Genomic DNA, 12,643 nt, shown 5'->3' with positions numbered 1-12,643 from the left:
CAAGTATTAAACTTTTCAGTCTTTTGTGTAATTTGGCAGGAGACCTGGAAAAACAATATTCATAATCCCTAAATCAAATGTAGTTGCTGCTTTGATTTACAAGAAGTCTTCATTTAGATTCCTGGTTTCATTTAGAGAAACAAACCAGTGTTGTGTGTGGACATGGTGCCCCGTCGGCTACGCTTTTGCAAAAACAGCTGCAAGTAAACCTTTGGCCCAGTGAAGTCTGTGATGCACCGGTGACAGTAATCCTGCCCGCCTTTCCACGGCACGGCAGGCCTCTGAAACTCCCTCTGCAACAGTGAGTCGCACAGCCACCTTGGGAGGTAAACAGGAAAGGGGTGATCATTCCCTCTAAATAGATGAGGAAATTGAGGCAGAAAGAGGTCATCTGGTTTGTTCAAGGTTAGGCATGAAGTTCTGTGAGAAGGTGAACCTAACTCTCATAACTTCTAGGACAATGATTTTTCCCTCCCTCCCTCCCTTCCTTCCTTCTTTCCTTCCTCCTTCTCCTTTCCTCCCTTTTTCCTTCCTTCCTTCTTTCCTTCTTCCCTTTTCCTTTCTCCTTTCCTCCCTTCCTTCCTTCCTCCTTCTTTCCTCTCTTTCCTTTCTTCCACTTTCCTTTATTTCTTCTTCTTGCCTTCCTTCCTCCTTTCTTTCCTTTCTTCTTCTTCTCTCTCCCTTCCTTCCTACCTCCCTTCACTCCTTCTTTCTCACTCCCTGCTTTCATCCTTCCTTTCTTCCTCCCTTCCTTTTCTTTCTTCTTCTCTCCTTCCTTCCTTCTTCTCTTTCTTCCTTTCTTCATTCTTCTCTTCCTTCCTTCTGCTACTGTGACTATTCAATGTAAAGTTTATATAAATCACTTAAACACATCAAACTTGTGCTTTGATCCATTGTGTTTGACATTCCCCCTGCCTGAAACCATCTTCCCCCAGACCTTTGCTAGCCTGATCCCTTCTCACCTGGCTGAAGTTCAGATATCTCCTCCTAGGTGGGGTATCCTGGAGTAGTCATCCCCACTAAAATGTTCCCCACTAAAATGGCCCCTTCTAAAATGGCCCCCACCCACCCCTGCCTCTCTATCCCTTTACCTGGTGGTGTTCTCTCCATAATATGTGTCATCATCGCAACTTCTCGTGTCTGTGTCTGTTTCCCAATCCAAACATCAGCTCCTTGAGGGCAGGGACTGTCTCCCTCATGTTTGCCACTGTGTCCCCAGTCTGAGAACAGTGCCCGACCCAGAGTGGTCATAGCAAAGCCTTTTTGAATGTATAGATCCAAAGATGAAGGTTGTTGATTGAATAATGAATAAAGGAAGAGCCAAAGGAAGAAAATAAAGGAAGGGAGGATGGAAAGAAGGAAGGAATCAATCGCTTGGCACAGAGCCTGGCATACAGTAAGTGCTCAATAAATTCCAATCGTTGTTGTTGTTAATAATAATAATCTTACCATAACTCCTCTTCCTGCAGGTTTTACAAATTGCTCTGGAGGCTCAGAGCCTCTCCTCTATGTAGTAGCCCTGGTTTAAGCACACTGCCCGGCTGTGGAGGTGGTGCCTGCACACTGTCTCAGTGTGTAAGCCATGAACAACCACGTGTCCTTTCCTGGAGAGAAAGGACAGCCTTGTTGGGGAACAAGTGCTCAGGGGATTTGACCTGTAATAGGGTCACAACGGGACCATCCTGAGATTCCAAAGACCCTCCTCACCTTGCCACTAGCTCCTGCCTTTTCAATGCTGCTCCTGGACAGACACCCACGCTTGTCCAATACCCCACCTAGAAGGGAATATCCACTTCCTCTCAAGTCTGCTGCTAGGGTGCCTGGAGGGGGCTTGGGGTTTCTTACCAGACATAAGGGAGCTGGAGCCCCTCACCCCTGTGCTGAAGGAGGTGAGTGTCAAAGCTAAGATGGCAGTGGCCATGCCTTGCCCCTAAATGCATGACCACATTGGTGACCAGCCTAGGCTTTGTGGAACCCAGGAAATACTGAGCTGCCAATGTTTGGAGACTACTCAGAACTGAGTTCATGGGAATAAAAAAGATTTATATTGTGGGTATTAAAACATGTTTCTATGTGTGCTAATTTGTATGGACATAGTGTTGCAGTCTTGGGCATGTCTCTCTCTCTCTCTCTGTCTCTCTCTCTCTTCCTCTCTCTCTCTTCTCTCTCTCTCTCTCCCTCTCTCTCTCTCTCCTCTCTCTCTCCCTCTCTCTCTCTCTCCTCCTCTCTCCCTCCCTCTCTCTCTCTTTCTCTCTCTTTCCCTCTCTCTCTCTCCCCCTCTCTCCCTCCCTCTCTATCTCTCCCTCTCCTCTCTCTCTCCCTCTCCTCTCTCTCTCCCTCTCCTCTCTCTCCCTCTCTCTCTCTCCCTCTCTCTCTCTCCCTCTCTCTTCTCTCTCTCTTCCTCTCTCCCTCTCCTCTCTCTCTCCCTCTCTCTCTCTCCCTCTGCCTCTCTCTCTCCCTCTCTTCTCTCTCTCCTCTCTCCCTCTCCTCTCTCTCTCTCCCTCTCTTCCTCTCTCTTTCTCCTCTCTCTCCCTCTCTCTTCCTCTCCTCTCTCTCTCCCTCTCTCTCTCTCCCTCTCTCTCTCTCTCCCTCTCTCTCTTCCTATCTCTCCTCTCTCCTTCTCCTCTCTCTCTTCCTCTCTCCCTCTCCTCTCTCCCTCTCTTCTCTCTCTCCCTCTCTTTCTCCTCTTTCTCACTCTCTCTCCCTCTCCTCTCTCTCTTGCTTACTCCCCCTCTACTCTCTCTCTCCTCTCTCTCTCTCACTCCTCTCCCTCTCTCTCACTCCCTTTCTCCTCTCCCTCTCTCATCTCTCTCTCCCTCTCCTCTCTGTCTCTCTCCCTCTCCTTTCTCTCTCCTTCTCCCCTCTCTCTCTCTTTTTCTCTATCTCTCTCTGTTCTCTCTCTCCCCCTCTTCTCTCTCTCTCTCTCACTGTTGCTTTCCTACTGGACAGCACCATGCTATAGAAAACGCTGAAAAAAATTTGCATTATCCAAAAATATGTGTACTAGGAGGCTTCTGTTGGTTAGATGGTTAGAATAAATCCAGACCCACACCATGGTGAGGAAGACCCCATGACACTTCTTCTCTCTGTCCTCCTACCACTCTGGCTCAGCCCAATTGATTTTCTGCATGTTCTCCATACCAGTTGAGGTTACTGCTACCTCAGGGCCTTTGCACATGTGAGTCCCTCTGTCTGTAATGTTCTCATCTCCTGATACTGGTTTGAGCAACACCAGCATTCTACATTTGGGTCTTTGCTGCCATGCTGCCTGCTCAAACTCCCTTTCTATGACCACCTGCATAAAGCAGCCCTCTGTCCAGCAGCCTAGTGGTCTCTTTCCCAGTGGCCTGTTTTATATTGTTTTCTCCAAAGTACTCATCACCATCTGAAGGCTCATAGACTGTCCATACTCTGGAACAGAACCACAAGGGAAGAAATAGCATTTGTCTGGATGGCTCCCAGTTGAGGGCCAGGACCTTAGAACACTGCCAGGCACAGAAAGTGGATCAAGATCTGATTGATGATAAACAGAGGAGAGGCAGACAGACAACGTGGGGATGAATCCATTTACAGGTAATTCGATGGGTCAGCCTACTGACTGAGTGATCTAGCATCTAGAGTTCTGCAGTGACTTGAACCTACAGCAGGCTCTTATGAAAATGTTCCTTCTCACAACTGCTCCTTGTTTAAAAACAAACAAATACAAAAAACCCTAACCATGCCAATAAGTTTCCTAAGAATTTTATTAAATTATTAATTTATTTCTTTAGGAATTTTTTTTTTTTTTTTTTTTTGAGATGGATTCTCAGTCTGTTGCCCAGGCTGGAGTGCAGTGGCATGATCTTGGCTCACTGCAAGATCTGCCTCCCGGGTTCAAGTTATTCTCCTGCCTCAGCCTCCTGAGTAGCTGGGACTACAGGTGCCCGCTGCCATGCCCGGTTAAGTTTTTGTATTTTCAGTAGCCACAGGGTTTCACCATGTTGGCCAGGCTGGTCTTGAACTCCTGGCCTCAAGTGATCCACCCGCCTCGGCTTCCCAAAGTGCTGGGATTTCAGGTGCGAGCCACCGCGACCAGCCAGGAATTTTATCTTCCCACCATCTGAATTATGGGGAAATGAACTTTTTTCTTTATTTTTATTTATTTATTTTTATTATACTTTAAGTTCTAGGGTACATGTGCACAACGTGCAGGTTTGTTACATATGTATACATGTGCCATGTTGGTTTGCTGCACCCATTAACTCATCATTTACATTAGGTATTTCTCCTAACGCTATCCCACCTCCCTCCCCTCACCACATGACAGGCTCCGGTGTGTGATGTTCCCCTTCCTGTGTCCATGTGTTCTCATTGTTCAATTCCCACCTATGAGTGAGAACATGTGGTGTTTGGTTTTCTGTCCTTGAGATAGTTTGCTCAGAATGATGGTTTCCAACTTCATCCATGTCCCTACAAAGGACATGAACTCATCCTTTTTTATGACTGCATAGTATTCCATGTGTATATGTGCCACATTTTCTTAATCCAGTCTATCATTGATGGACATTTGGATTGGTTCCAAGTGTTTGCCATTGTAAATAGCGCTGCAGTAAACATACGTGTGCATGTGTCTTTATAGCAGCAGGATTTATAGTCCTTTGGGTATATGCCCGTAATGGGATGGCTGAGTCAAATGGTATTTCTAGTTCTAGATCCTTGAGGAATCACCACACTGTCTTCCATAATGGTTGAACTAGTTTACACTCCCACCAACAGTGTAAAAGTGTTCCTGTTTCTCCACATCCTCTCCAGCACCTGTTGTTTCCTGACTTTTTAATGATCGCCATTCTAGCTGGCGTGAGATGGTATCTCGTTGTGGTTTTGATTTGCATTTCTCTGATGGCCAGTGATGATGAGCATTTTTTCATGTGTCTGTTGGCTGCATAAATGTCTTCTTTTGAGAAGTGTCTGTTCATATCCTTTGCCCACTTTTTGATGGGGTTGATTTTTTCTTGTAAATTTGTTTAAGTTCTTTGTAGATTCTGGATATTAGCCCTTTGTCAGATGGGTAGATTGCAAAAATTTTCTCCCATTCTGTAGGTTGCCTGGAAAATGAAGTTTTTTTCTTGTTTAGTAGTTATAGTGCAGGTACCCGCAGTTTCTCCTTCTGAATCCAAATAATACGTGGCCATGTGTGCCAACGAATTCAAATCAAGAGAAGTCACCTCAAACCAGGCTCTACCTGGTTGATTCAGTTCTTCTTCTTTTTTTTTTTGAGAGGGAGTCTCGCTCTGTCACCCAGGCTGGAGTACAGTGGCATGATCTCGGCTCACTGCAAGCTCTGCCTCCTGGGTTCATGCCATTCTCCTGCCTCAGCCTCTCGAGTAGCTGGGACTACAGGCACCCGCCATCAGGCCCGGCTAATTTTTTTTGTATTTTTTAGTAGAGACGGGATTTCACTGTGTTAGCCAGGTTGGTCTCGATCTCCTGACCTCATGATCCACCCACCTCAGCCTCCCAAACTGCTAGGATTACAGGCATGAGCCACCACGCCCGGCCAATTTAGTTCTTTTGTAAAAACGTAAGTCATGGTCTTTGTCTGACTGTCAGTTTTGCCTCAGGATAGACTTCGTGGTTCCTTCCACCAATTTCAAAGACTTCTGACACATTTCTCAACTCTAAATTTACTGGTCACCTCTCTTGAGGGGAGGATAAAACAGCCCTGGCTGCTGAGTTACTGAGTTACAGATGGCAGAGCAGACGGAAAAATCCAAGCTGATTCTGCGTCACCTGGCCGGTCCACACTCCTGCAACAGCCTTTGATGCCAATGCCAGAGAGGTGAGGAAGTCACAGGAAGACAGGTTGGAAGCTTGCTATCTAAAGAGAAAGGAGGGATGATGGATCCAGCCCACAGATGAAATCAACCATCTGCAAAGAGTCCTGTCCATGAGAAGGTCCAAGTGGCTTCAGGACACAGAATCCAGGCTCCACTTTCCCTGAAGGTTCTGCAGATGAGGAGCTTTGGTCAGTGGCCCAGCCCTCCACGCTCCTCCCTCCTTGGCTGGAGGCTAGGCATCATCCAGGTCTCTGTCCGCATGTCCCCCAGCAGGATCCTCCCTTCACTCCCCCACCTGCCTGCTGTGAAGCCGACTCCACCTCAAGTGAGTCTCTACCTTCCCATGCTGTGCTATTGCCATCACATCTTTTCTCAGTCTCTGAGATGATCTAGCTTATTTTCTGGTCAATTGCCTCTCTCTCACTCTACATTGTGAACTCTATGAGCATGGAGGACTGGCCTACCTCCCTTAGTGTGGGATCCAGAGTGTTGGGCACAAGGCCCGGAGTTAGTAGATGCTCAATAAATACTTGTGGGAAAAATGAGTGGAGCCAAGTCAGCCCAAAGCCAAGTGTTCTTCTCATCTCTGCAGATACAACCTTAGGCAGGGAGGTCAACTGATTGGTGTCCTAAACAAAAAATCCCCCAAACACTTATTGACATAGATGATATAGAACAGACCCTGACTTTTGCCTCCCTGGTACTTACCTGCTTGCTAACAGAGATCAAAAATTGATCAGATAGAAAGTGGAAGTCCATGATGGCAGAAAAGATGGACTCTCATAGAAGTAGATGAAAGGATGGGGGTTAAACATGTGACAAAATCGCCTAGAACTAGACACAAGCACACACACACAAGGACAAGGATTACACACAAGTATTAAGTTGGTGCAAAGGTAATTGCGTGTTTTGACATTATTTTAATGGCAAAAACTGCAATTACCTTTGCACCAACCTAATACTTATAAAACTGGTGAAATCTGACCGGGCTCTGTGGATTGTACCATGTCAATTTTCTTTTCCTGACATTAAACAAGGTGTTACCACTGGGAGCCTGGACGAACGGTATACGATACATTTTTTTTTGTATTTTCCTCTGAATCTATAATTATTTCAAAATAAAAAGTTAAATAATGTATAATGAACACCCGTACCTTGTAGGGAGGGGATAGAGCAAGGTTATCAAGTGTAAAAAGGTAACAAAGGTATAGCAACACCAACCTCATATTTTCTTCTTGAACTAGTCTCAAAGATTTAAAGAGAACTGAGTACAGGTCACTCTCTTACTGTCTGGTTTTGTGTTATGCCCACTGTTAAATGGAGAGCCTGAAATCATCATGCCATTAAGGCTATATGTCTTCCACATTGGAGACTCTAGACTATAAGGTAAAAGTCCACTCTCCTCAGTCTAAATTTCATGGCTTTCTCCAGCAGACTCCACTCACCTGACCTGTTCATTCTGGAACACCATGTTGAGCCTCCCTCTTTTTTGCATTCTCACGTAGACTTGGACTCTTCCTTGGCAACGCTTATTACAACTGCAAACACAGAATCCAGTGTATCCCTGGTTGCCGATCTTCTACCTCTCCTATAACCATGCAAGTCCCACGCAGCAGGGATCATATTCTTTGTTCCTTTTATGCCTCAGGCATGTCATGGGGGCTCAGTCAACATTTTAGAAATATAATGGAATGAATTACTGCTCCGGAGTAGCTCAGGAAGCAATACATTCAGTGACCGTGTGGCCATTACTACCCTGTCTATTACAACTATGAATTAGACAAAGGCACCCCTTTCTCAAAATACTTTACGCCCATCTGTTAGCAAGCAAATCATCTGCTGATATGACGAGGACAGGACACTGTCTTGCCACCTGCTACTAAGCTGCTTTGCTAGACACTCAAAGCTACACCATCTACGATGGGAACAGCACCATCTTGATCACGGTGCATCTGTATAAAGCACAATCTATGGCATCATATTAGCACCTCCCGGTGCGTGTTCAGGTGGATATTGGCTGGGTCACTCAGTGGGCGAGAACTCTCAAGCTTCAGCAGGTGGGGGGACATCCATGGTCTTCAGTTTCTCTTCCTCTTGGGAGTTGCCTGCCCAGGGTGCTCCTCTGCTGTAGCCACCCCAAACCCCCAGTGCACCCTTCCCTGACCCTACATGGGATGAAAACTCCATTATGACTTTTGCAAGACCCATATAAATGTCAGGTTCTAAGGTCCACAGGGGGTTAAAAACAATATGAGTAAAGAAAAGAAAATAGTAAAGCTACTAAACTCTAAGTTAGCCCCCACCCTGAGAATGACATCATTGCTCAAAAATAAGCAGGGCCCAGACCTTGCAAAGAAAAAGACTCAGTGACTTTGTGGGCAAAGTGAGCAGGAAACAGGAGCCCTTTCTGCAGGGCCCTAGGCATGGAAGCCAAGACTATTGGTTTCGAAAGTGTTCACTGTGTTCCTTCCTAATGGGGTTACAGCAGATCTTGATCTGCTTATTCTAGACCAAGGCTTCCAGCCCAGGGCACATCGGCAGTGTCTTGAGACATTGTTGGTTGTCAGTTTTCAGGGCAGGGGAATGGCACCTAATGGGCAGAATGCAGGGACACCACTAAACATCCCAAAACCGACAGAACTCCCTCACCACAAATATCCCCACCCCCGGCCCCGCAAATATCAATAGTGCTGAGACTGAGAATCCCTGGTCACAATAGCTCTAAATTTTGCTGAGACGACAGTGAATGTACCAAGGGAAGGGGAGACGTTGCCCTTTTATCCATCAAAATGTCAGCGTAAGGGCCAAGCAGACGTCCTCCCCCACCAGTTCTTCTCAGTGGCGTGGGGGGAAACCCACCCTCACTCCTTTCTATCGGCTGCACTCAGTCTTCTACACCATGGCATGGATGCTACAGGATAATGACATTATCCACTATTGTAATCATTATTTTTTCATTGCTATTCGAAGAGAAAATTGCATAGGTTATTATATCAGATGGTGTTTAAAATGAGTCTGGGGTTCATATAAAATGCAATGTGCCAAGAACTATTACTGCGAGGAAGGTGGGAGGAAAAATGAGAGGTTATTTATTATTCAAGAAGCTGGGCACGGTGGCTCACGCCTGTAATGCCAGCACTTTGGGAAGGTGGGTGGATCATTTGAGGTCAGGAGTTCAAGACAAGCCTGGCCAACGTAGCGAAACCATGTCTCTACAAAAAATACAAAAATTAGCCGGGTGGCAGTGGCATGTGTGTGCTATAATTCCAGCTACTCGGAGGCTGATGCAAAAGAATTGCTTGAGTCTAGGAGGCGGAGGCTGCGGTGAGCTGAGATCGCGCCACTGCATTCCAGCTTGGGTGACAGGGTGAGACCCTGTCTCAAAAAAAAAAAAAAAAAAAATCAATCTATCTATCTATATATATATGTGTGTATATATATATATGTATATATATGTGTATGTACATATGTATTTATATATATATGAGGAGGTGGAAAGATATATATATATATATATATTCCACAGGGCTCATCCACCCACTTCCTTCCATCTTCACTCAAATGCCACCTTTCCAGAGAGAATTTCCTTGGACTCTCTCTAAATTACAAACATTTATCTTACCCATTTATATGCTATCCATTCCTGGCTTCATGTTATTTTTTCTTTTTAGCACTTTTCATGATCTAACATACTACTTACATTACGTATGTATTTTATTTTGTGGCTGCCTCTAAAGAATCTAAGTCCCATGAAGACGGAGATGTTGTTGTTTTGGTCCTTGTAAAATTCCCAGTTCCTAAAGTCATGCCCGGTATAAATAGGTTTTCAAAAAATATTTCTTGAATGAATTATTGAGGAAAAGATTGGAGAATTGTTAGTTACGTAGCCTTAATGCACCTACTGTTGCTAAAAATTTCAAAATGTTTCAACTATGTATGTCCTATTTTTCAAAAGAATAAACATCAGGAATCAATAAGAACAAAAATTCTACCTTACAAGTGATAAAGAAATATAAATAAAAACAAGATAATATTTTACTTGCCAAATTAGCAAGTATTAAAATAAATAAATTGGTACTACCCACTTTCAGTATGTATAAGCATTTTCTACACCACCAGTGAGAACATAAATTGGCTCAAATTTCCAGCAAAAATATTTTGTCAATGTATGGCAAGTCTCTAAAATTATTTACAAAAATTAAACTAATCATTCAATGTTAATAAGTAATCCAGGGAAATAAGACAGGTGGACAAAGACATATGAAAAGATTTATTGAAACTCTGCTTAATATCAAAAATTGAGAAAGTTTTTTAACTCACAAAAATAATTGGTTAAATAAGTTATATTTCAGCAATTTAGTAACATACTCTGGTCAATAAAACCCTGTGTATAAGCTTATTGAGGGGTGTAAGAAAAGCTAACAATAGATTCTCACGGTAGATTAAATGTTGCTACAATTCCCTGCCTCTCCCTGTGTTTACACATGCTTTCAAGATGGTTCAATCTTTTATTTTTCTCCTCGCACACTGGATGTTCTAAATCAAGAGCTAATAGAACACTGCTTATATTTGAAAGAGCTGAATAGTCATTGATTAGTCCATTCTCATGCTGCTATAAAGGAGTGGTCCAAAACTGGGTAACTTATAAAGAAAGAGGTTTAATGGACTCACAGTTCTGCATGGCTGGGGAGGCCTCAGGAAACTTACAATCATGGTGGAAGGGAAAGCAAACACGTCCTTCACATGACGGCAGAAAAGAGAAGTGCGGAGCAAAATAGGGGGGAAAGCCCCTTATAAAACCGTCAGATCTCATGAGAACTCACTCACTATCACGCGAACAGCAACATGGAGGTAACCGCCCCCATGATTCAATTACCTCCCACTGGCTCCCTCCCACAACACGTGGAAATTATGGGAACTACAATTCAAGATGAGATTTGGGTGGGGACGCAGCCAAACCATATCAGTCACTAAGGCCAAAATTAGTTGAACCTGGCCTTTCAACAGAGGTAACTAAAATGGAGAGGCTTAGCAGGGAGCTAACCCCATACAGCAAGTCAGTAAAGGGATGAGAGGTAGAGTTGTCTCCCAGGTCAGTCGCCAAGCCCTCCTGTCATATCTGTGCTTCCCCTGGGTCCTTTAGGTGATGTCACAGGGTGACTCAGTGTCCCTGAAAGGTTCAAAAAGCTCCGCACAGCATCCCAAGGAGTAGGCTGACCTGACATCCATTTCCATGGAGGGGACTGCTTGCCCGTTTCCCATCTTCTCTCCACAATAGAGCAGAAACAAACACAAGTTTCTCCTGCTGGTGATGCCATGAAAACAAAAACAGAAACACAAACTCCACAGTGAAACCCGTACCTTACGCTGCAGAATGTGAGAGGGCAACAGAGGACACGTGGACACAACCCTCTGAAGCAGCCCAGCAGGGGCGCCATGGAGCTAGTTAGGCCCAGAGAAGCACCGGTTTCCATTAATAAAGCAGATCAACCTCAAAACCACTTGGCAGCTGAGTCAACATCCTGCCTGCTAGCAAACAGGCGTTATTCATCTCCGCATTGAGAGCAGCACGTCACGACAGGATGCCAAGTCTATCTTCAGCAGTGGTGCTCCTGTTTATAGTTTATAGAAAATGATTTATTCCTGGAAACGTTCTAAGGGCTACATTTCCTGTTGGCTAAAAGCATCTTTCAAAGGAATCGTAACTAACAATAAATGCAACTGACCACCAAGCCTTTGGCACCCAGAATTCCCTAATACTTCACTCAGGTCAATTCAGGCCACACAGAAAAACCAACTCAGGGGCTGTGGGCTGCCCTTCAACATGACCTTAGCACTTCCTCTGTCACCACCTGTTCCCAGCCACCAGCACCCTCACCTGAATCTGATGGCAGCCTGCAAAGTAGCCTCTCTCCGTCCAGTCTTGCAATCCCTCCTCCCACTCCCCACACAGCACCCAGACTTCCAGTTTGATATTTTTTTAATGTACAAAAGTGAGATAATGTCACTCACCTGTTAAAAACCCTCCAGTGACTTCCCACTGTTGTTGGAAGAAAATCTAAACTCTCTCTATGGTCCTGGGAAGCCCCACATGATTGGCCATCTGTGTACATCCCTAATCTTATTTTGTAAAAATTTCCCAAACATTCAATGCATAGGAGCCCCACTGGCCTTTCTCTAGGTCCTGAAACACAACAGGCTCTTTCCCATTATAGACCCACACCGACACGGACCCCACAGCCTTGAGTGCTGTTTGCCCTACACTCTTCATCTCCTCACCTGCAGGACTTCACTTAAATGCCAAATTCTTGTAAAGCAGATCTTTTTTTCCAACTATAGATCGTAATCCATTATTGAGTCATGATGCTAAGATAGCTGGTATTCATGAGAACGTTTTAATAACAGAACAGAATATTGTTCTTAGAGGTAAAGAGTTTAACAAATAAAAATAAATATTTAAATATTTTTTAAAAGAGAAGAATAATGGAGGTCATTAGAATTTAGCCTCAGTGACCGTATCTGTCCCGTTCTCCCCTCTGCAGAGCAGCCTCCCTAGTCACTAAGGTATTAGTGCTTTAGGTGCTCCGTGCTGCCCCGCTCCGTCAATAACTGTGTGTGTAGAATTGGCCTTCCCTTCCTATGACCTCAGGGGCTCAAGAAGCTTTAGTGATGGTGACTGTCAAACTTGGAGGGCCCCTCAATGTCATAAATACACCAGACAGATTGAAGATGGGGGAAATCTCTCTCTCACACACACACACACCAGCAGCTGCTGACCCTAGTTTCCAGCACATGTTTTCTGCTATTTATTCTCCCAGTCCACGACA

At 44.7% G+C, this 12,643-nt stretch overlaps 3 annotated features.

The window, feature by feature from the left end:
• Positions 1,859 to 2,363: an enhancer, noted in NCBI's record as "H3K4me1 hESC enhancer chr12:128053389-128053893 (GRCh37/hg19 assembly coordinates)". NCBI's record gives its function as "activates a minimal SCP1, AML or CMV promoter by ChIP-STARR-seq in primed H9 embryonic stem cells {active_cell/tissue: H9 hESC(primed)}" and the evidence as "EXISTENCE:reporter gene assay evidence [ECO:0000049][PMID:30033119]".
• Positions 2,364 to 2,868: an enhancer, noted in NCBI's record as "H3K4me1 hESC enhancer chr12:128052884-128053388 (GRCh37/hg19 assembly coordinates)". NCBI's record gives its function as "activates a minimal SCP1, AML or CMV promoter by ChIP-STARR-seq in primed H9 embryonic stem cells {active_cell/tissue: H9 hESC(primed)}" and the evidence as "EXISTENCE:reporter gene assay evidence [ECO:0000049][PMID:30033119]".
• Positions 10,723 to 11,922: an enhancer, noted in NCBI's record as "P300/CBP strongly-dependent group 1 enhancer chr12:128043830-128045029 (GRCh37/hg19 assembly coordinates)". NCBI's record gives its function as "activates an origin of replication core promoter dependent on BRD2, BRD4, P300/CBP, MED14 and CDK7 cofactors, with strong dependence on P300/CBP, by STARR-seq in HCT116 cells {active_cell/tissue: HCT116}" and the evidence as "EXISTENCE:reporter gene assay evidence [ECO:0000049][PMID:35650434]".

Source organism: Homo sapiens, chromosome 12, assembly GCF_000001405.40.
Source record: "Homo sapiens chromosome 12, GRCh38.p14 Primary Assembly".
NCBI classification, from domain to species: domain Eukaryota; kingdom Metazoa; phylum Chordata; class Mammalia; order Primates; family Hominidae; genus Homo; species Homo sapiens.
Note: the sequence above shows the minus strand (reverse complement) of the source record. Positions and strands in the feature narration are given on the sequence as shown.